Below are 22,221 nucleotides of genomic sequence, written 5' to 3'. Positions count from 1 at the left end.
TCTACATTCTTCTCAAGTGTATGGTCATAGAAATCCCTTTGGCTTTAGGTGCAATTCAGTGGAAACACACACACACACACACACACACACACACACCCACAAGCACACAGAATTTCACTGTGGAATTGGCAAGGAATAAGTGAGCCAAATTTGGCCTGTAGAAATTAACACTGGCAACTTCGTGAGTAAAAATTACATGAAAAGCACTCATGAGGGAAGGAAGAAGGAAAAAAAAAAAACTAGGATAACAGTGCAACAGACCACATTTCCTATCCACAGTCTGTCTTCTCGGGGGTGTTTGTCTAAACAGCATTGCCAGTTTTTCTAAACAGTACTGCTGGTGTCCTCGATCTGTAATATGAAGTGAATCGGCTATGCGGACCAAATGCTCGTTGGGTTGAGAGTTCCTTTATTTGGCCAAATTAAACCCAACAGCCTCAGCTCTGTCCAAACTTGTACTAGTCCAGGGCCAGCTAAGATGCCTGTCCTCATTTGTAGATCTGCATAGAAAAATAAAAATGATGCATTAACTGTTTCCCAACCTTTTGGTTGAAAGGAATTTAGCTCCACATAAAATATAGTCAATTTTTGTCTCCTAAAAGCTGGAAATGTAATACTTTGAGATTGTCTCAGATGTGAAAAAAAAATCACAAGAAGCTCCATGTGGTTTTTAGAAAGATAAGTTCTGATATTAAAATCTTGTGTGGATGGTCTATTATTTCATCTCTGCCATCCTTAGCATCTGCTGGGGAAGATAGTCCAGAAGCCCAGTGCTCATTTTTAGGAGGACAACTTGGAATGGTTTATGGTTTTGGTTTTGGTGCCGGGTCTTACACGTCTTAGTCCACAAGCTCAAATACAGAGATAATTGGAAGTCTAAAATCAATAACCATGGAATATAGCCAATGCGAAACAGATGCCGGAATAAACCATCTGTAAATTTCATGGTGGGTGAGGTGGGGACTCAAAATGTTTATTTGCATCGTGTGGACGACTGGGCTCAGCCTGGAGGATGTCGCGAGTCTGTACCATTTGACTTCAGCACACTCCTCTCTCCAGCCGCAGCTCCACCTGTGGTCTGAAGTGTATTTGCAGAATTGCTTTGAGCATTTTGTAAGGACCTCCTCTAGTTTTTTGCATATACCAGGAATTCAGCGAATAGGATTGGACATTTGTTTTTATCAGAGACTGACTGGTTCCGCCCCAGTCTCCCCTTTGCTCATCAGCTTGAGTGATTTTTTTTCAAAATGCAAATGTGATCATGTCCCACTCACCTGTTTACCAGGCCGAGGTCCCTTCACTGGCCTCCCATTACCCTTATGATAAAGGGAAAGTTCTGTAATTTCAGGATGGCCTTTATAGTGTGAGTTCTGCCTCTTCTCCTTCTATGCGGCCACCACCCCCGCCCCCTTTTTTTCCTGCTGCAACCACATCTTAACTCTGCTTCCAGGTACCACGGGGTCTTTGCATATGCAGTTCCTTCTGCCTGTAATATGCCTCCCTCTCCTCTTCACTCTTCACCCATTTACCTGCTGCTCATCCTTCAGCTCTCAGCTCAGTTGTCACCTCCTCAGGGAAGCCTTCCCTGACCTATCTGACCATACGTCATTTTTTTTTGCGTGTGTGTGTGTGTGTGTGTGTGTGTGTGTGTGTGTGTGTGTGTGTTTTGAGACAGAGTTTTGTTCTGTGGCCCAGGCTGGAGTGCAGTAGTGTAATCATAGCTCCCTGCAGCATCAAACTCCTGGGCTAAAGTGATTCTTCTGCCTCAGCCCCCCAAATAGCTGGGATTACAGGTGGTGTACACCACCATACCTGGCAAATTTTTATTTTAAAATTGTCTGTAGAGATGGGGTCTTACTGTATTTCCCAGGTTGGTCTCGAACTCCTGGCCTCAAGCAACCCTCCTGCCTCGTCCTCCCAAAGTGTTGGTATTACAGGTGTAAGTCACTGTGCCCAGCCCCTGACCATCCTAATGCCTCCCTTATATTTTCTCCTGGACCCATATAACTTGCTTTTTGTGGCATTCATCCCTTTCGGTTTTATACACATCTTTGTTTCTATTTTGATTAATGTCTGTCTTCTCCCCAGCTCCAAAAGACAAGAATGTAACTTTACAGGTTCTTTCTGTTGTGTTTTGGTCTCTGAGTACAATACCTGGCACAAAGTAGGTAATTTGTAAATATTTCTTCAGCAAATGGTGATTGATAGTAGTTGGTCTATCATTCCTGTGACGAAAGATGCCGAAGTCCCAGATTTCTATTATCTTGAGCCCCTTTGAAGTCCTCTTTGAAAACCAAACCAAATAGTTTACTTACAAACCAAGTGGTTACTCTTTAAGTGGTTTATTTTATCAGTTTTCTAAAGTTGCCTTTATGTTACAGGGCTGAGGTTCTTTTTGAGGAGTGATGATGTGTTTTGTGGTGTTAAGGACAGTTTGTGGTCATGACTATTTTACAGTCAAAGACCCAAACATCAGATACTAAAGCCCTTAATAGAAAAAAAAAAAAAAAGAGCAACTAATGATTGAGTTATGTTCTGCTTACACTTACACTTCCTAATGATGTGTCTGTCTGTTTCTGCCTCATTTTCTTTGTTCACTTGATGTTATGGGACCATTTATGTCCTGTGCCGTTAAAGCCACTTAAGTCTCTCAGCCTCAGTGTCCTTCTCTGTGAAACCAGGGAGTTGGAATCCATGATTTCTACATTCCTTTTTTGCTCAGATAGTCTAGATTTTGTTTGTATAAATATTGGCTCTCACATCAAAGACCCAGGTTCAAAAAACATGTTTTTATGTCTACATTGTATAAAGCCTCATGGTTTCTTAAAACATATTTTGTTATCAACAGGAGTGAAAATTATAATCACAATTTATAGATTAAAAAATTATACTGAAAGATATTAGCTGGATTAAAAAAATTGCTGGGATCCTCATTTCTCAGTGTTTTTTCATGGGATTTTAAATAGGTAATCTATGGAGGATGGTTTTAAATTGAGAACATCTCAGAGCGTCTGATACAGACACGTGTCGAATGAATTTCCTAGAGTTGGGGTATTGCATACTTACTTTCTTGAACACAGATTCCCTTTCTTTCTTCAGAATGCCCGTGTGGAGGAGGTAGTTCAGATATAGGTGACTCTTAAGATATGAATGACAGCTTAATGTTTTCAAGTACCTAGATTTTTCTTAGGGTGAGATTATAGATACTTTGAGTGTGTCTTAATTTTTTAAAGTGAACAACAGAAACAAAGTGCTGGGAAAATGCAGTATTTTGAATGGGAACATGGTAATGGATTATTAATGTGAAGCCAGATGCAGGATTTGAATACTAAACCCTGAAGCTATGCAATTCTGCTGATCCATCAGCGAGTGCTATTTAAAAATTCACAGGCCTCATCTAAGTTATCATTTTTATTTTGCATGCTCTGTGATTGTCTTTTTAGTCATCACCCATGGCATTGTCTTAGGCACACCCGGTGTTTCCCAGCAAGGCTCCTAAGAGGTGCCTTTGAGGCCAGGGCTCCGCTTGTCCTCCTCGTGCCCTCTCCCCTTACTCCCCCTCTGCGGGCTGGGGCACGTCTAGAAGACTCCAAGAGCCATGTTAGAATATCCCTTGGAGCAGAGGCAATTCCCTTTATTTGTTCCCTTCTTTTAATAATTGGAAGTGAGACCTAAATCTTACCCAGTAAGTCCTCGAATTGGCAGACAAGTATATTGGTGGGCGGCAAAAGCCTGGGGCTGCATCCCCTGCTGTGTGGGTGTGGATGGTGCCGCAGGTCTGGGCAGTGCATCTGTGACTGGGATTTTCCTGGCCTTCTAAAGCCAGAGGCTGAGGCCCAGGTGGATGCTGACCAAGTGCTTTCCAATGTGCAGGGCCCCGAGCTGGGTGTGGAGGCACAGGACGGTGGCCTTGTTGCACTGGGAACCTGATGCGGTGGATTCTTTATGACGGCTGGCCAAAAAGCAGAGCCTGGAAACAGGAAATCCCCATCACGTTCCGCAGACAATCTCAGGGAGGTGGTTGGAAATTGTTTTAAAACTGCATCTGAAAAATCGTGAACCTGATACTAAAACAATTTGGATGGCCGGCAAGACCGAGAGTTGGGGTGCTTCTCGGTGGCTTTTCTTTGCCTTGGGTGGCCAGCAACCCGTGGGTGGCTTTAGCATGAGCCTCCGCAGCCTAGGAAGGGATGGATGGATGGCTTTGAATCTTTCCTTTCTGCCCTACATCCTTCCTGCCTGCTTCACATTCCTCCCCTCATCCTTGGCTCCTTCTCGTAATTCCATGTCTATTTATTTCACAAGGAATAAATGTTGATGGCTTAAATGAGAGATAAAAGAAAAAAGTGCCTACAGGTAACGAGGGGAAAAGATATATAAAATGTTACTGTAACATTGTGTGGTATTTCCTTCCATTGTTTTTTTCTAGGTATGTAAGCACACACACCCATGTATATATATTTTCAAAATGAGGTCATACCGTACATGCTGTTTGGTAGTTTGTCTTTTTCCTTGAAAATATATCATGGAACTTACTGTGATCTGTGTCAAAAACCAAAATAGATGAACAAAGATAGGCTAAAGCAAGTAAAGTAAAATGTTAATTGGCAACATCTAAGAGGCAGGTATATGGGTGTTAAATATGTTGTCTTTTCAACTTGTCTGGATGTTTGAACATTTTTATAATAAAATTTTGCAGGGTGGGGGGAGGTTTAGTGACGGACAAAAAGACAGAAATTAAACAAGTAGTAAAAGTACAGTATGTGTGTATATGTGTGTGTGGGCATGTCTGTGTGTGTGTGCCATTCTGCTCTATCATTAATGTAGGTATGTATCATTCTTTGTAATGGCAGCGCAGCATTGTGTCATATGGATGAAGTGTCATTTATTTAGCCAGTTCCATACTGGTTGGCTGTTTTGGGTGTGTGTGTGTGTGTGTGTGTGTGTGTGTGTCTATTTGGGGGATGTGTGTGTGTCTATTTGGGGGGGTGTGTGTGTGTCTATTTGGGGGGGTGGTGTGTGTGTGTCTATTTGAGATGTGTGTGTCTATTTGGGGGTTATGTGTGTGGCTGTTTGGGGGTGCGTGTGTGTGTGTGTTTTAGCTGAATAGCCGGTTGGCTGTTTGTCGGTTTTTGGTTTGTTTGTTGCCTCCTCCACCTTTGTGTGTTTTTCAAAGACGAAGCCCTGTGTATGAATTTGGGCAGTCATTCCTGTACATCAGAAGACAAAGCACCTACTGAAATTCCTCCTTTTTTTAAACTCTTACTGCATATGTGCACAGGCGGCACATTAATTCTCCAGCCGGTTAGCCTATATTAAGCAGGAAAATATTTTTAATTAGACAAACATATTCACCCCCAAATGTGTTTATTCTCCCTTGTCAATTTTTTAAAAAAATATATGCATTACGAGTTGTTTTATTGGTGCCTGGGTTCCCAGGGAGGAGGTAGAGGAGAGGTGGGGGTAAGTCAGTGGTGGAGTTCACAAGATGTGAAGGGTGAGCCCAGTGTTTCTTGGGACTACAACCTGTGTTAAGGACCCATTTTTCTTTCTATATCTTTTATTTCTACTTACCCAAGGACAAGGTTTGGTTGCATCATGTTGAGTTGTTCAGAATGGTGCATCCCTCTTGGGTAACATTTTCTTCAAAGGGTAGTTGGGCGTTCTTATGCCCCATTTGTGATTTTCTTTGGCTTTATGTTTTAGTCCCTAGTCTGGCCCACTTTGGCCAGAATACTGTGATGTTTTTCCCTCCTTAACAGAGTCATAACATGGAGATCAAGGGAGAAGCAGCGTTGGGGGCCCAGTCGATGAGATCATGCCCCTCAACATGACTAATACTTCAGTCCTAGAAACCTGCCCTTCACCCCACCCTATAAACCCCATTATGTCTTTGCAGAAGGTAGTTTGGGAGATAGTAACTTTGAGCCCTCATGGAGTTCCAGGCAAAGCATCTGAGACCAAGACACATTAAATAACTTGCCCAAAGGCGCCCAGGTGCCAGGAGCAAGTCTAGGTGTCTCTAGATCCCCTACACCATGCGACCTGTCCCTCTTAAGGGTCCCAAGGATTTTGAATAGATTGCCAGACAGGAAAAGGAATGATTTGTCCAGAGGTCATTTCAAGGACTGCAGGGAGAGACAGGTGCTGTAGGGCAAGACACAGTGACTCTTCTGTTTAGAAGCACTTGCGCTTTTAATAGTAATAACAACATTCTTCATCATTTTTGAGACTTTTAGGCTTTACTTTTAGTCACAGTGTTGGGATTTGTAATGTAAGTTATCTCATTTGACATATCCACGTCTCAGTCGGTGGATGGGTAATGGGATGCCCGCTTCCCCTACTCCAGATGATTGATGAAGAAATGGAGGTGTATGGAGATGAGGTGACTTGCCCAGGATCAGAGCTTTAAGTGACAGAGGCAATATTGGAACTGAGGTTTCCCTCATTCAAAAGCCAGTGGTGCTTGTTTGCACTGCCACACTGGAGCAGACTAACTGAGACCGCTCTTGATGGGTCCTTTTCTACGAGAGGCTTTGCCTGCCACCTGCCAGCATCAGGTGATCAGAAGATGTGGTATGAAGACCATTCAGCCGGGCGCAGTGGCTCATGCCTGTAATCCTAGCACTTTGGGAGGCCAGGGCGGGTGGATCACGAGGTCAGGAGATCGAGACCATCCTGGCTAACACGGTGAAACCCTGTCTCTACTAAAAATAGAAAAAATTAGCCGGGCATGGTGGCGGATGCCTGTGTGTGTGTAGTCCCAGCTACTTGGAAGGTTGAGGCAGGAGAATAGCTTGAACCCGGGAGGCGGAGCTTGCAGTGAGCCCATATCGCGCCACTGCACTCCAGCCTGGGTGACAGAGCAAGACTCCGTCACTCACACACACACATACACACACACACACACACACACACACACACACACACACACGCCCATTCAGCCTCTGGTTTAAGTCCACAACAAGTTTGTCCACTCTGGAGGGGGAACTGGAGCAGATGCATAAGAAAGAAGCGAATGGAGCTAGGGGTTACAAATTTGTAGACGTCCTATATATTGTGTGATGTCAAAGGGTAATAAGCGTGTATATTTCATATATGGGAATTTAAAAGTTATTTTATATCCTGTTGTGCTCTGTAGAGAGTGGATTAATTCAATTACATCTTTGCATGTGACTAACATTGGAGTTCCTAAAGAAAGCCCTAATAACCAACATCTCTGGGAGTAAACAGCTTGCCTGTTTGTCTCGTCTGCTACACATATGAAGCCACGCGTGATAAGGCATACCTCTAGTCAGCTTCTAACATGAGCAGTAGGCGAGGAAATAGACAAATACCAGCCATTCTTAAGAAAAGCCATAGAACAATGTTTGTTCTGGGAAAAAGACATTTATTGCTTTTTTATGCAAAGGACAGAAATATGATGTGTCTTTCAACTTTGAAAAGGTAAGGTATCATGGAACAAAGCCTATTCCACTTGAAGTCCTGATTCTTCCATGATACATCCCTCTAAGAGATCAGAAACGTAAAATCAGTGTTTGGGGAAATTTTAAAAAAATGTATTAAAGCAGGGCTTGACATTTGTTTCATAATTCCTTTGGGAGGACACATGAAACATTGATACAATGTGTGTGGACAATTTAAAAAACCCATGGATGCCTTTTTGACTGCATAATCATAAGGACACAGCTTATAGTGAATGAAGGAGGTTGTGCCTCTTGTGAGTAAGTAAAATTACGTCAGGAAGGATAAGCCACAACTGGAAGCATACCATAATTTCTTGGAATAGAAAAAAGTTGGAAACAAAGATAATAATCCACCTGAAATTTGTAAATGTTGCAACTAACTAGCTCCAATAAGGAAACAGACTTTTTAACTTAAAAAAAATTGTGGGCAGTTGATTCAGTAAAAAATATCAAAAGATCTCTGATTCTGTGTCTCAGAAGCTTCAGTCTGGTAGATACTTGCTTTTTTGAAAAGGAAAATAACTCGTAGGTACAATTTTGTGACAATTAGCTTATACCAGGCACTGTGCTTATTTGAAGTCCCTTATTGCATCCTCCTGAAAACTCTGAGTGGTTAAGTCCTGTTCTTGGCCATATTTTACAGGTGAGGGAGCTGACACTGAGAGAGGTAAAATAACTGGCCAAGCCACACTGTTTTTTTGTTGTTTTGTTGTTGCTGTTGTTGTTGGTTTTGAGACAGGGTCTCATGCTGTTGTTCAGGCTGGAGTGCAGTGGTGTGATCACAGCTCACCGCACCCTTGACCTCTGGGTCTCAGGTTATCCTCCCGTCTCACCCTTCCAGGTAGCTGAGACTACAGGCACATGCTACCACACCTGGCTAATTTTTTGTATTTTTAGCAGAGACAAGGTTTTGCCATGTTGCCCAGGCTGGTCTCAAACTCCTGGGCTCAAGTGATTCGCCTGCCTCAGCCTCCCAAAGTGCTGGGATTACTGCACACTGTTTTTAAGGAGAGGAACTGAGACTTGAACCCAGGCAGTTTAACCCCAGAGTTAAAACCCCTAACTGCTGGGCTATGTTACTTTTACTTCCAGGTTTTTTGTTTTAAATTTTCTCACTGTTAATGTCAGAATAGCCTGAGATCTCTTTTTTTTTTTTCCAAAGTAAATAACTTAGATTCAAGCCATTCTTCATTCCGAAAAGATAGGTGAGCCCTAGTGCAGTTGTGTCTCCATAGACAGATTAGCCTGCTTCTTGCCTCCTGCCTACCAAAGAGGATACAGAGGTGGTTGTATTAGCATATTCATTCATTCATTCTCCTGTTTATTTCTTTACTCAGTAAATATCTCAGTGCTGGTTACATTCCAGGTACTAGTTCACAGATTATTAGTATGCAGCAGTGGCCAAAACTACTCCCTGATCTCATGGCACTTTTATCCTAGATGGGGAAACAAATCAAACACTATATAATGTTTCTCTTGGTGGTAAGTGGTATGGAGGAAATAAATCAGGATAAAGAAATGGAGACTGTGGGTGAGGAATGTGCTGTTTTTACTTAGGAACATTAAGAAAGAAAAAGATAGTGAGACCTGAGGGGGCCATGAGAATATTTGAGGGAAGACCATTCCTGAATGAGAACAGCAAGTGCAAAGGCCCTGCAGTGAGAGCCTGCTCATAAAGGAAAAAACCTGCTGTGCACGTTAGTCTGCACTTCATATTCCTTCCTGATTGGACTATTATACATTTCTCTGGGGGAATGTCAGCATTGATCTGCATTAAATAATGAGGTGCTAAATAAGCTAAACGTGGCATTTCTGGTTCCAAAGATTCAGTAAACATAGGATGTAGCCCAAATGATTTGTTCATCGATTCTGCCTCTAAGATACATCTTTTTCTAGCCAATTTAGTGGTTTATTTTTAGTGGACTGTAGTCTCATCCTAGTAATTAGAAACCGGGATCTTTATGCTGCACTGTGGAATGGTTATGACAGGGTGTCTGCTGCCCCTTGCCTCTACTTACCCATTTAGAGCAAATGAAAAGGATTGCCTTTATGCTGTGAAAAAGAGAAAGTCTTCCATCATGGCAGAGCAGAACATCCACCAACTGTTTTACTATCTCATCTAAATGCTTCCGCTTTAGTCAATAAAATGTGATCAGATGCTCTGTTCCTAAAATTTGCTTGGCTGTACCATTGCAAATTGTTGGTATCGGCCCATTGGGAATGATATTTTCTTGAAGAAAAGTCTTCTGAAATCCACAAATTCCTGCTGGACATTCATGGCACAATGTATATTTAAAAACCTCGTGAATGTGCGCATGGTAACGGCTGTGTGCGAGCCTGATTAGCTGGTTTTCAACTTGCTTGGCTTTCTTTAAAATTATTTTTCAAAACCATCCTTTCTAGTTAAGGGGAGCATAAAGGCATCAGAAACCCACTTACAGCATTTCATTTCTGATATCCCTCAACACAGAATAAACAATGAAACTGATTTCAGTTTGAATGGTCTCTGAAATATTTCCTTTATGCTTGGCAGCCCTATGCAAAAATTTCCGCCTGTTGCAAATTAAAAGTCTTCGAGTTGCAAACCCCCCTGAAGAAAGGTTCTGATAATAGGGACGTTGTCAGACCCTTAACTAAGCCACACACTGCTGGGAGCCTCCGGAATAACTTTAATGTAGTTGTAGGGAAGGGAGTCGTTGGCAGGGATGAGGATCCCTGCTTGACTGCTCTCTTTCCTGACGAGGAAGAAAAGGACAGTGATCAAGCACAGGGTCTCAAAGGAGGTCTTAAATCACCAGGGAACATGAAGAATGGGACGTACACAGGCTGCTGGGGAAGCGGGCACAAAGCCCCTGAATTGTAGAGCGACAGATAATTCTTGTACGAACACCCAGATGACTGGGAACCTTTTCCTTATGGATTAAACAGGACCCAAGTGCACTAGGCTAATGGGAAATGCTGAAATGGAGATTTTTTTTTTTTGGTCCCTATTTTTGTGCTGTTTATGATCCGCCAGCAGGAATATTTCACGGCATCAAAGACATGGCCAGAAAGCAAAAAGATGTATACACACACACACACACACGCACAGTTCTTCTGTATCTCACAACCCTGATACCACATATGGCCTTTCCGAAGGGAGTATTGTATGTTGTTTAGTCTTGGAACTTCTTTTAAAGATAGGATGTCATTTACAATCCTCAGGCCATATGTTTACTCAGACTTAAGAAACATGGGCTAATCTTTTTCTATTTTGAGGAGTAATAAATTGAAAAGATAATTACATAATATGGTGCATAATGTAACTCTGGCTTGAGCCATATGTGTTTAATTTTAGAAAAACATGCGTGATGACAGGTTATGAAAGGATGAAACTATTTTAGTCTTTTTAAGGATTAGAAGCATGATTTTTAAAATGTGTGTTCCCGCCACCCCCCACCCCAGCCTCCAAAAAACAACCCAATACACAAACCCAGTGAAACATACACTACTGAAAGTCATTTGTTTTTGTGGTGGCCACTGGCAAAGAAAATTCAAGTTAGAGGACATATTACTTTCAAGCTCTTGTAAAATTAGATGCAGGCTTCTGTGTGCTGGGGAGAATGGGTGGCGTGCCGTTCCCAATGCAAGAAACAGAGTGGAGTTGCTGTATTTAGAATCAAGCAGAAATTTCTCCTGTGACTATCCAATTAGAAACAGCCCGGGTTATCTCTTTCCTTATTGAACATGATAGCATATCTGATATAAACTGTTGTGGCGGGAGAAATGCAAGATCCTTTCTTTCTTTCCCTCCATAAGCATCTGTTGAGCCCCTGGTGTGCTCCAAGCACTGTGCTTGGTACCTAAGTTGCAGGGGCAGGTAAAATACTCACCATAAAACTGTAAAGCAAGCAGGAGGCTTGTATACTGAGACCCACTTTCACGTTATTGTCAGAATGTGTCATTTTTGCCTGCGATCCTGATCTGGAGGCAGAATTGTCAGGTGTGGAAGGCAGAATAACACAACCCAAAGAGCTCTACATCCTAATCCCTTGGATCTGGGAATATGGTATGTTACATGGCAAGGGAGAATTAAGGTTGCAAATGCAATTAAGGTTGTTGATCACCTGCCCCCTTGAGAAGGGGAGGTTATCTTGGAGTATCTCGGCGAACCCAGTGGAATCACCAGTGTCCTTAAAAGTAGAAGAAGGCTGCTAAAGAGAGAGAGCCTGAGAGATAGCATCACGAGAAGGACTTGGCTCAATGTTGCTGACTTTGGAAATGGAATACCCTGATTTGATTTTCACACAAGATACGCATGTGTCAAAAAATCATACTGTACCATATATATATATATATATACACATACAGTTATTATGTGTCAATTAAAAACAAAAGAAAAAAATAACGAAAATAATTCGGGAAGAGGCCACAGGCTAAGAGATGTGAGCAGCTCCAAGAAGCTGGAAATAGTGAGGAAGCAGATTCTCCACTGGAAGGAACACAGTCCTTGATTTCAGCCCGTTGGGGCCCATCTGAGACTTCTGATCTCCAGAACTGTAAGATAAGAAATGTGTGTTGTTTTAAGCCCTTAAGTTTGCAGGAATTTGTTACACAGCAAAATGAAACTAATTCATCGGGGAAGGACCACGTGCCTGGTATGGTACGGTGACTGGAACAGTTGTTCTCCAACAAGGCTGCATGTTGGAGTGAAAAGCTTTAAAAAGTACTGCTGCCTGGCTGGGCGTGGTGGCTCACACCTGTAATCCCAGCACTTTGGGAGGCCGAGGCAGGTGGATTACCTGAGGTCAGGAGTTCGAGACCACCCTGCCCAACATGGTGAAACCCTGTCTCTACTAAAAATATAAAAAATTAGCCGGGCGTTGGGGCGGGCACCTGTAATCCCAGCTACTTGGGAGGCTGAGGCAAGAGAATTGCTTGAACCCGGGAGGCAGAGGTTGTGATGAGCCGAGATTGAGCCACTGCACTCCAGCCTGGGTGACAAGAGTGAAACTCCATCTCAAAAAAATAAATAAATAAATAAATAAATACTGTTGCCTGGACCCTCGATCTTAGACATTCCAATTTAATTGGCCTGGAGGTTGACCTGGACATTGGCCTTTTATAACCTTCCCAAGTGATTCTGAGGTGCAGCTGGGAACGTGGAACTCTGGTTTAGGGCCTAAATCTGTGGAATCAGATCTACCTGGCCTCCTAGCCAACATCTGCCTCCTCCTGGCTGTCTGTCTGGGTGGATTATTCTCTTAGCTTCAGTTTTTCCATCTGCAAACTGGTAATACTGTGAACTTCTACCTAGGGTGGTGCAGTCCAGAAATGTGAAAGAGCTTTTGTGTGTCTCACATGGTCATTGCTCAATAAATGGCAGCTACTGTTTTTACTCGTAAGGTGATGATTTGGATGCACAGAACATAGATTCCCCTGATGTCTGGCTAACTTATACACCTTACATTCACACCTGCCTTCTGAGGTAGCTGCTGTTACTATACCCTTTCCATAGGCGAGGATGGCAGGCATCAGAAAAGGCCAACCACTCTTCCATAGTTGCACAGAGACTAAACATGGGAGCCTGGACTTGAACCCAAGGCTCACTGTGAGTTTGGGGCCATGCATCCTTGCCCCTTGTCTTTGGGAGACCTCCACGTAAAGGCTGGCAAGGCAGATGTGTGGAAATTTGGAAGTTGGTGGCTGCGTGCTGGTGCAGTGCCTTTGGAGGTATTTCACAAACCATTAGCAGTGTCAGTCCTTGGGCTGGGGGTGGCATTTTGTACCGGATTCAGTCTCTGCACGATAAACCATATTGCCCTGTTGCCTGCCATCAGGGAAAAGGAGGTTGAAAGCCATGGGAATGAGGATTCTTAATAGTTATAGGCTGCTTGCCTCTGTCTGCCGTTTAGTCTAATCTCAGGTTCAGTTGATACTATTGATTAGTCTCTTTTCAAAACCTTGTGAGGCCTATGGGGCTTCTCTGTGTGGGGTAAAATGGTATTCTTCTCATATGTGAATTGAGAAGAAAAGGTGAAAGTATACAATTAATTTGCCTGCACTTTCTTGTAAATTGTATGCTGGATTTCTGTGAAATGCTGTATGGAACAATATTCCAAGCAAATTATTGTTATTTACTGTGACTTTTGCCTGCATATTTAAAGTCAACAATTATGGGTTTTTTTTTTTCTTCTTAATGGCCTTTGTACAACATTTTTAGAAACTTGGTCAGGTGTCACTAAGAAAACTTGTGCTTTGGCTCTGGGATTTTTGGGAAACAAATTAACAATATCAAAAGTAACAATAAAGTCTTGTTTCCAAAAGAAATAACCCAATACAGGCCGGCCTGGTGGCTCATGCCTGTAATCCCAGCACTTTGGGAGACTGAGGTGGGCGGATCAACTGAGGTGGGGAGTTCGAGACCAGCCTGGCCAACATGGAGAAACCCTGTCTCTACTAAAAATACAAAATTAGCCAGGCATGGTGGTGCATGTCTATAATCCCAGCTACTCGGGAGGCTGAGGCAGGAGAATCACTTGAACCTGGGAGGCGGAGGTTGCGGTGAGCCAAGATCACGCCACTGGACTCCAGCCTGGGCAACAAGAGCGAAACTCCATCTCAAAAAAAAAAAAAAAAAAAAAAAAGAAAAAGAAAAGAAAAAAACCCCAATACATGGGGATCTCCATTGCCCATCCCCTCCTCTAAGGTAATTATCTGTAGGCCATCGCCATATCTCTTCTTTGTTTTAGAAAGACATCTTTTGTTATCATTCATGTTAATATTATTGAAAGCAAATAAAATGGAATTTTACATTCTTTTCTTCACATGCCATCTATTTTGATGGGCAGTTTTATCATACTTGGAATTCCATCATTTCTCGGATCCTTTACTTTTTTGTTGTTGTTGCTGTTTTTGAGGCAGTGTCTTGCTCTGTTGCACAGGCTGGAGTGCAGTGGTGCGATCTTGGCTCACTACAACCTCCACCTCTTGGGCCCAAACAATCTTGCCACCTCAGCCTCCCAAGTAGCTGGGACTACAGGTGCCTGCCACCACATTGGGCTATTTTTTTTGTATTTTTAATGGAGATGGGGTTTCGCCATGTTGCCCAGGCTGGTCTTGAATTCCTAGGTGCAAGTGATCCACCCACCTTGGCCTCCCAAAGTATTGGGATCACAGGCATGAGCCACCGTGCCTAAGCCAGCTCCTTTATTCTTAACAGAGAGAGAATAAACTCTTTCCTATAAACATGAGGCACGCGTGCATGCACGCGCACACACACTCACACACCTCTCACATCAGTAATCCTCCTTTAATCCCAGTCCAAATCTTGAAACAGTTCCCTTGTTTTTCTGTTGCCTTTTTTCTTCACCATTTATGAGCCATCACCCTGAAAACTTTCAGTGATGAGCCACATCATTTTTTGAAAACACCATCTCCAGCTCAGAGATCCAGGCGAGCTTTTTGTTAAATCAGGGTTCCATACTCCTAGCCCCAGCTGGAATTTTGAAGAACAGTTTGTGTTCTTCACTACATCAGACTGGAAGAGACATGTACACGCCACACATGAACACATGAGGATTTTGTGACTTGGAGAAGATCCAGCTTCACTGTTCCTGATCACTCAGTAATTGGGGTTATGATATTTCTACCAGAAAGAAAAAACAAAACAAAAAAGTAAACTTCCTCTTTTGAGAAACTAATTTGGTTTTGCTTATACAATCTCTTATCTGACGAAGAGGGTGCTTGGCTAAATATGTGTAAAAAGACAACCTAGTTGATTGAGGGATTTTTCAAACCATCTTCAGAATTCACTTGGCAGGGAGTGGATTGGGTGGAGAGCCTGAGACATATACCAGTTAGAGGAATATACAGGGTTAGCAGTCATCTGCATCCTGTTCACCCTGAAGGAACCCCTCTTAGCAGCTTGTCCTATTTGCTTTTAGATATATTTAAAACAAATAAAACATTTCAGCAACACCTAAGATCTCTTATAACTTTTCCCCTTCCCACTTCTCAGCAGCACATTCCATCAGGAGCTTGGGGTACCCGTTCCATTCCATTTATATACACTTATGTACACAGGTAGCCTTTTCTGAGAGTGTGTATTTAGTTTACAAGTTTAGTATCAAACTATATTGTATCCTAACTACTTCATGCTGAATTTATTCAGGCACGATTTTGAAAAAGGTATCATGTTGACATGTATAGATCTCACTTACCCTGCTAGAAATGTACAAAGTATTCTGTCATTTGTCAATGAATTGTGCTTATTCATTCCACAGATAACAGACATTTATGATTTGATTGATTGAGACAGGGTCTCATTTTTTCGCCCAGGCTGGAGTGCAGTGGCGCAAACATGGTTTACTGCAGTCTCAACCTTCCAGGCTCAAGCGATCCTCCCACTTCAGCCCCCCAAGTAGCTGGGACTACAGGCATGCACCACCATGGCTGGCTAATTTTTGTATCTTTAGTAGAGATGGGGTTTTGCCATGTTGCCCAGGCTGGTCTCAAACTTCTGTGCTCAAGTGATCCACCTGCCTCAGCCTCCCAAAGTGCTGGGTTTGTGGGTGTGAGCCACCGCGCCCGGCCTGTGATTTTATTTTTAAAGCAATAAACATCTTTGGCATGCATGAGAACTTCTTTAGAGTAAATACCTGGAAGTAGAATTAGGACAATAAACCGCACTCACTAAGGTTTCTTGATCCCCAGTTCAGAGCCTGCCACAACTCCAGTGAGGAAGATGTTTGTGTGCCATTCCGTCTCTCATGGCGTTTATAGCCTGGTGAGGAGTAGGATAGGGGTGGGGATAGGGGTGAGGGATAACTCCACGTACAGAATAACTGTTTCCCAGCTGGACTGAATTGGTGCTCCAGGGAGGAAGTAACGGCTGCCTGGGCCCCGGTGTCTTGTAACAGACAGATTCAAATTTGTGTTGTGTCCATTCACTTTGTCTGTTTGAAGAGAGATATCCCGCTTCATTGATTGAATGGGGAGAGCCTCGTCTTTAGTTGCAGGTTGTAACAAGATTTAGCGAAGGAAGGTATCAACCAATTAGTGCAGCACTAGAGCAGAGACAGTTCCAGATGCCCAGCAAAGGTTGTCTTGCATACAGACCTGTTCATGTGCTCTCTCCCGCATCCCTTTTAAGAGGCTAACAGAAACCCAGAGAGGAATGTTGGAAGCCAAATAAAAATAGCATTAAAAACAAGGAAAATGTAAGAATAAAAGAGAGGAAGGATTTCTGAGTGAATGAGGCTTTCAGCTGCTGCCTCTCATCCTGAATTGTGATATGTAGATCTGTCTCTTGCTTAGCCTGACAGCTTCTGGGGACAACACGAATTTTTCAGTCGGTGTGAGAAATGCCCCATCCACACCAATTGATACCCTCCCCTGGCAGCTGCCTCTCTCTCTCTCTTTTATCATTCCTCTTGATCCGTCATCCAGAGAATGCTAGAAGGCATGAGAATGTAAGTTCCAAATAGGAGTTGGTGCCTGTTTTCTATCTTGGTTTATTTTCAAAACCCTTTTTGAACTTTTGAACTGTTGGTACCCAGGGGGCAATGTGCAGGGGAGTTGATAAATAAAGATAATGTTGATGTAAGTACAGTTTCTTTCATATGTAACTAGAGAAGCATGTGAGTTTTCAGATAAGCTTTTCTTAGAAAAAATAAAATTTTAAATGTCAAAGTTTTTTGAGTGGGGGTGGAGGAGACTCCCGTACGGAAGGACTCGTCTTAGACAAGAGACAGACTGATGAAGAGAAAAGCAAACTGACAGCATGTAGGTAAATTTGACTGAAGATCCTTCTGTTTTTATGAGACGTAGACTTCCCTCCTCCTTATGTGTTCTCCTGAAGCCTCTGTTTATTATTGGGGTATTACTTTCTTTGTCTGAAATAGTCATTTTCTAATTCTTCCTCAAAAAAATTGCAGGGGGGTTCTACATCTAACACAATGTAGGTCATTGATCTGGGAGATTGTTCTCTTTTAAAAACAAAAATGATGGGGAAAAAATTCAGCTTCTTTTACTTCCCAAGCATCTTTTGAAAATGTGAGGTTCTGTATTCAGATGAAAGTCCACACAAAGCATTAATTACACATAAATTGGCTGGCCGTGGTGGCTCAGGCATTGATCCCAGAACTTTGGGAGGCCGAGGTGGGTGGACCACTTGAGGCCAGGATTGCAAGACCAGCCTGGCCAACATGGTGAAACACCATCTCTACTAAACATACAAAAATTAGCCAGGCATGGTGGCTCGTGCCTGTAATCCCAGCTACTCAGGAGGCTGAGGCACGAGAATCGATTGAACCCAGGAATTTGGAGGTTGCAGTGAGCCGAGATTGCACCACTGCACTCCAGCCTGGGCAACAGAACGAGACTCTGTCTCAAAAAAAAAAATCATACATAAATTAATAAAACAGAGAAGGTGTATGCCTTAGAAACACCCAATACACTAACTACCTGATTATCAGATTAAGTCCATGAAAAATTTGAAATAATTGGTTTCATTGCATTCATGCCAGCACTGGGTTGAATCAGCCAGGTAATGATATCAATAAGATTTACGTCAATATTATGGTGACATAAACATTTTTTACCTACTTGCCAAAATTTTTTTTTAATGGGTTCAGCCCCAAACCCTCCCAGGAAAACATACACTGCCAAGTGCGAGGTAAAAAATGAAAGTTTGTCACATGAAAAAATTTATGTATCTGGAAATAATGGTCATAATTATTAACACTGCATTAATTAGATTTGGCATTGGTGTTTTGAGTTTCAATTTTTTGTCTCTGGGTTTACATTTTAATTATCTTGGGATTCACAGATTGATGTGGAACATACTAGGCATTTGCTACATCGTTTTCAAATTAACAACTGGAGAAATTTTTAAATGATTCGTAGAGCCATTTGTAGAGTTTCATGGAAAGATTTCCCAGTAAAATGAAGGTTTGTAAGAGGTGCAGAGAGTGAAGTGGCTGACTGTAGTTATACATAAAATTGCCCCTGCTAATGTTTGACCACACTGCTTTTGGATTCATTTTACTTACATATTTCAGGTGTATGCCTTTCAAAGGTTGAGATGTGGTAAGAGGAAATTTCATCATGCTCCATCTCAGAAGGTTGTAGGTTATCAAAGGTTGCAAACCCCCTTTCCCTGCCCTGGTTGTCAGTAGTGCTTCCGTCTGGGTGAATGTTGGAACTATGTTCTGTGTGCAATCTGGGAGTTGATTTTTATCGACTTTAGTGAAATGCATAGGATTTTAGAACTTCAGGTATACCCAAATAGCTGCTTATTTTGAAACTTGCTTGAATTTCTTGTTTCTAAAATGTATGGTGGGAGATGGTGGAATAAAGGGTATTTTATACTTTCCTTAAGTGTAGTCACCTTTTCTTAAATTTCTGGTTTGTAGTTTTGTTTCTTCATGACTTGGGAGCTTTAGAGAATGTATCATACTGTGAAGTTGTTTGACTCCTTTAGAGATGTGTCTGAGTGTGTTTTGTGTGTATATACACACATACATATGTATACACCTAAACCTATGTACATACCTGTATATCTACACATATACACATATGTGTATGTACACACATAGACACACGTATGGTTGTTAAATTTCATAAACCCAAATAATTCAAGTTTCTTTCCTAACACAGAAAGTCACTTCTACGAACAGTTGAAAAATAAATATTATAATCAGCGAGGCATCACAAATAACTTTTATGTCTAAATCAAGCTATTAAATGCTTTTTTATTTTTAAGTAGATAGGGGAATAAAATAGCTGTATAGTTCATAAAGTGGTGTGCCATTACTGCCTGCTGTGCCCAAGAATTATGCCAGCTTTTTACACTCATGAAGTAAAAGCGGATTAGAACTGTGATCAATGTATTATCCTATATATCTTATTTTGCATTGTATTTCCTTTTTGAGCACCTTTGTAGACTAAATGGCTACTAATGACATAATTACAATTGTTTGTCACCACCATAATGCATGATTTCCTATCTCATCATGAAGATGTAAGTTAGATAAAGGAGGAGTTTTGGCAGGAAGACAAAGTGCAGTGATTTATTAAAGGCCAGATGTGGTTGTTAAAAGCTTTTCTACAGAAGGCACAATTGAGTGATGTGAAATGGGAGCAAAATCACTCTGCACCCCCAGCCCGTGGTTCTTGGTGTGAGTGACATAGTTGCTTCTGGAAGCATGACAAATGAGCCACATGTTTTATTGTTGTGTACAAATTTTATGTTGGAATTTAAACAGGGTGAAAAGGGTTCACATTAGCTTATACCAGCAAAGTAGGTGTTTAAAGGAAGCTAATGAGACTAAAGGGCTGGCGATGTTTTCAGCGTGCTTAGTGCTTCATAGCAAGAACTGAAATATCTTATGTTTCTGTCAAGTTTCAAAGAGGGAAAATCCCAGCACTGTTTTAAAAAAATGAGAGTGGTTAATATGAGAATTCAAAGAAATCAGAAGCAAGTGGAGACAAGATATTACTTAAGCACTGTTGACATACATATTGCACACATCGACTTGACATATATACAATCAGATTAGATAGATGCTTCTAAGGAAAGAGGCACAATTTCTGGTTTTAGCATTATTTGCACACACAAAGCTCTGTTAAAATAATGTTAAGACATTGGAGTGTTAGAAGCTATGAGTGGTACGAAGAGTGTTTTCAAGCTTTTGGAGGAGGATAAAAAAAGAAAATGGTTGTATCTTAAAAGCTATTCTGTGGACAGAAGGTAGTGATCTTTCTGGTTTTCCTTCCTTCCTCTCCCCTTCTCTCTCTTTCCCCACTCTCTCTGCTTCTTCCTTCTTTCCCTGTCTCTACCTTCTCCCTCCTTCCCTTGCATCCCTGTAAAATGTTATACGGAGAACAGTTAAACTGTAGGATTAGGTCTGTCTGTACAGCTTGGGACCTGGAATTATACTAGACATAGGAACTTTCCTGCCTTTTCCAGTGTAGATGGAGAAATTATTCTAAATGGTATAAGTTGAAGACTTCAAAGGTTTCTAGATTAACTCTGTGAAATCAGTGAGAGCTTTGGTGGGGTTTTCCTTCCTTGTCCTCTCAGCTGAAAATATGGGGTCCTCCTATTGTTTTCTCCCATAGTACTGCAGACTTGATAGCTCTTGTAGACTTGACCATACATTGTAATTATATGTCTATTTGTAAAATCATTTGTTTAACATTTATTTCCCAGTGTTCAGTCTGTAAGTTCCACAGAGGCAAAAACTGGCCCCAAGGCCCGTCGCATTGCCTGGCACATAATGTACATTTGGAAAGTATTTGTTGAACAATCCAAAGAACCGCAGGCAGCAATACCTACATTCAGGATATCACTTGGAAAAACTAGCAAAATCCATCCAGATAAAACGTTCCCAGATTATAAATGCTCATCCACATAATCTGTGGAGCAGTTCAGATGGCTCTTTTGCAACTTTCTTAAAGTTTGGAACTTTGGAATCCAGTTAGATCTCGTTCCTTCCGAATGGGTTTTTGCCTCCTAAGCTCTCTTCATGCAATTCCAGGGACTGCCACTTGATGGCTTAGACAATTTAAAATATAAAGTGGGAAAGGTACACGTGCTTCCAACCCTGCCTAGACTCTGCTGGTTCCATTTAAATGTGTATATATACACATATATATATATGTATATATATATATACACATATATATGTATATATATATACACATATATATGTGTATATATATATACACATATATATGTATATATATATATATACACATATATATGTGTATATATATACACATATATATATATACACACATATATATATATACACATATATATATGTGTATATATATATATATACACACATATATATGTTCCTTATGACTCATACATTGAACCTTATACGGAGATGAATACAGTTGAAGTACAGGGAGTAAAGTTTCGGAGAAATAAAACACTTAGAATCAGGGCTGTATTCGTGGGTGTGAGACATGCCCAATCTCACAAGACCTGACGCTTAGAAGGGACCCACACTTGGTTTAATGCTCTGCTGTTGCTGTCTTCTTAAACATTTTTTAAAATTTTGAACAAGGGGTCCCAAGTGTTCATTATGCCACGGGCCCCATAAATTATGTAGTCAGTCTGAACTGGAATTTGTGTTACTTGAAGGTAGGTTGCTTTAGGCCTGATCTTAGCTGACCATGGCTCCTTTAGGAGTCTTTGTTTAGTGCTTGGTAGGAAGCTTGTTCCCACGGGACAAGCCTGTGGGTTAAGAGCTTGGCTTTGACTCAGACTTCCTGGGTCAAATCCTGGCTCTGCAACTGGGTCAGTTACTTAAACTTTCCAAGCCCAGTTTCCTCATTTACAAAATGGAGATGATAATAGTGTGTCTGCTTCCTAGACTTGAGTTGATTAAACTAACGTCCCAGGTGCACGTCTTAGGGCTGAGCACTGCATTTCTGCTAGGTATGGTTGCAATCATCGGGCACCACATTCCTGGTTACACCTGACACTTACTGAGCTTCCTGCTCTCTGTGGCAGCTCCAAAAGTTTCAGGATTCTTGCCCTGCTTTGATGCTCTACTGTTCCAGCACTCAAGGTTCTGTGTAGTCCGGTAGCAGAGTTCAAGTTAGACTGAACTCTAAGACTTGACTCAGCTCTGCCCTATCCCTCCTCCTGAATGAGGCTCTAGCTGCTCTTCTTTAAGCCTTCTCTTTTATGTTAGATGATTAATTAATATGGAAAGGAATTGTGTAACTAAACTTTGCATTTTTGTAACCCATCTCT

The 22,221-nt window shown here is 41.7% G+C and overlaps 1 protein-coding gene across 10 annotated transcripts in view, besides 2 other annotated features; it reads left to right on the top strand.

Annotated features, from left to right (window-relative positions):
- FOXP1 (forkhead box P1) overlaps nucleotides 1-22,221 on the top strand; it is a 629,271-nt gene that overhangs the window by 165,766 nt on the left and 441,284 nt on the right. The window lies entirely within an intron of this gene.
- Nucleotides 3,359-3,863: an enhancer, noted in NCBI's record as "H3K4me1 hESC enhancer chr3:71463501-71464005 (GRCh37/hg19 assembly coordinates)". NCBI's record gives its function as "activates a minimal SCP1, AML or CMV promoter by ChIP-STARR-seq in primed H9 embryonic stem cells {active_cell/tissue: H9 hESC(primed)}" and the evidence as "EXISTENCE:reporter gene assay evidence [ECO:0000049][PMID:30033119]".
- Nucleotides 18,555-20,537: an enhancer, noted in NCBI's record as "VISTA enhancer hs1116". NCBI's record gives its function as "enhancer in: facial mesenchyme[4/7]" and the evidence as "EXISTENCE:transgenic organism evidence [ECO:0001131][PMID:17130149]".

Source organism: Homo sapiens, chromosome 3, assembly GCF_000001405.40.
Source record: "Homo sapiens chromosome 3, GRCh38.p14 Primary Assembly".
Lineage (NCBI taxonomy): Eukaryota > Metazoa > Chordata > Mammalia > Primates > Hominidae > Homo > Homo sapiens.
The sequence above is the reverse complement of the archived record's forward strand: the minus strand, read 5'-3'. Positions and strand labels throughout refer to the sequence as shown.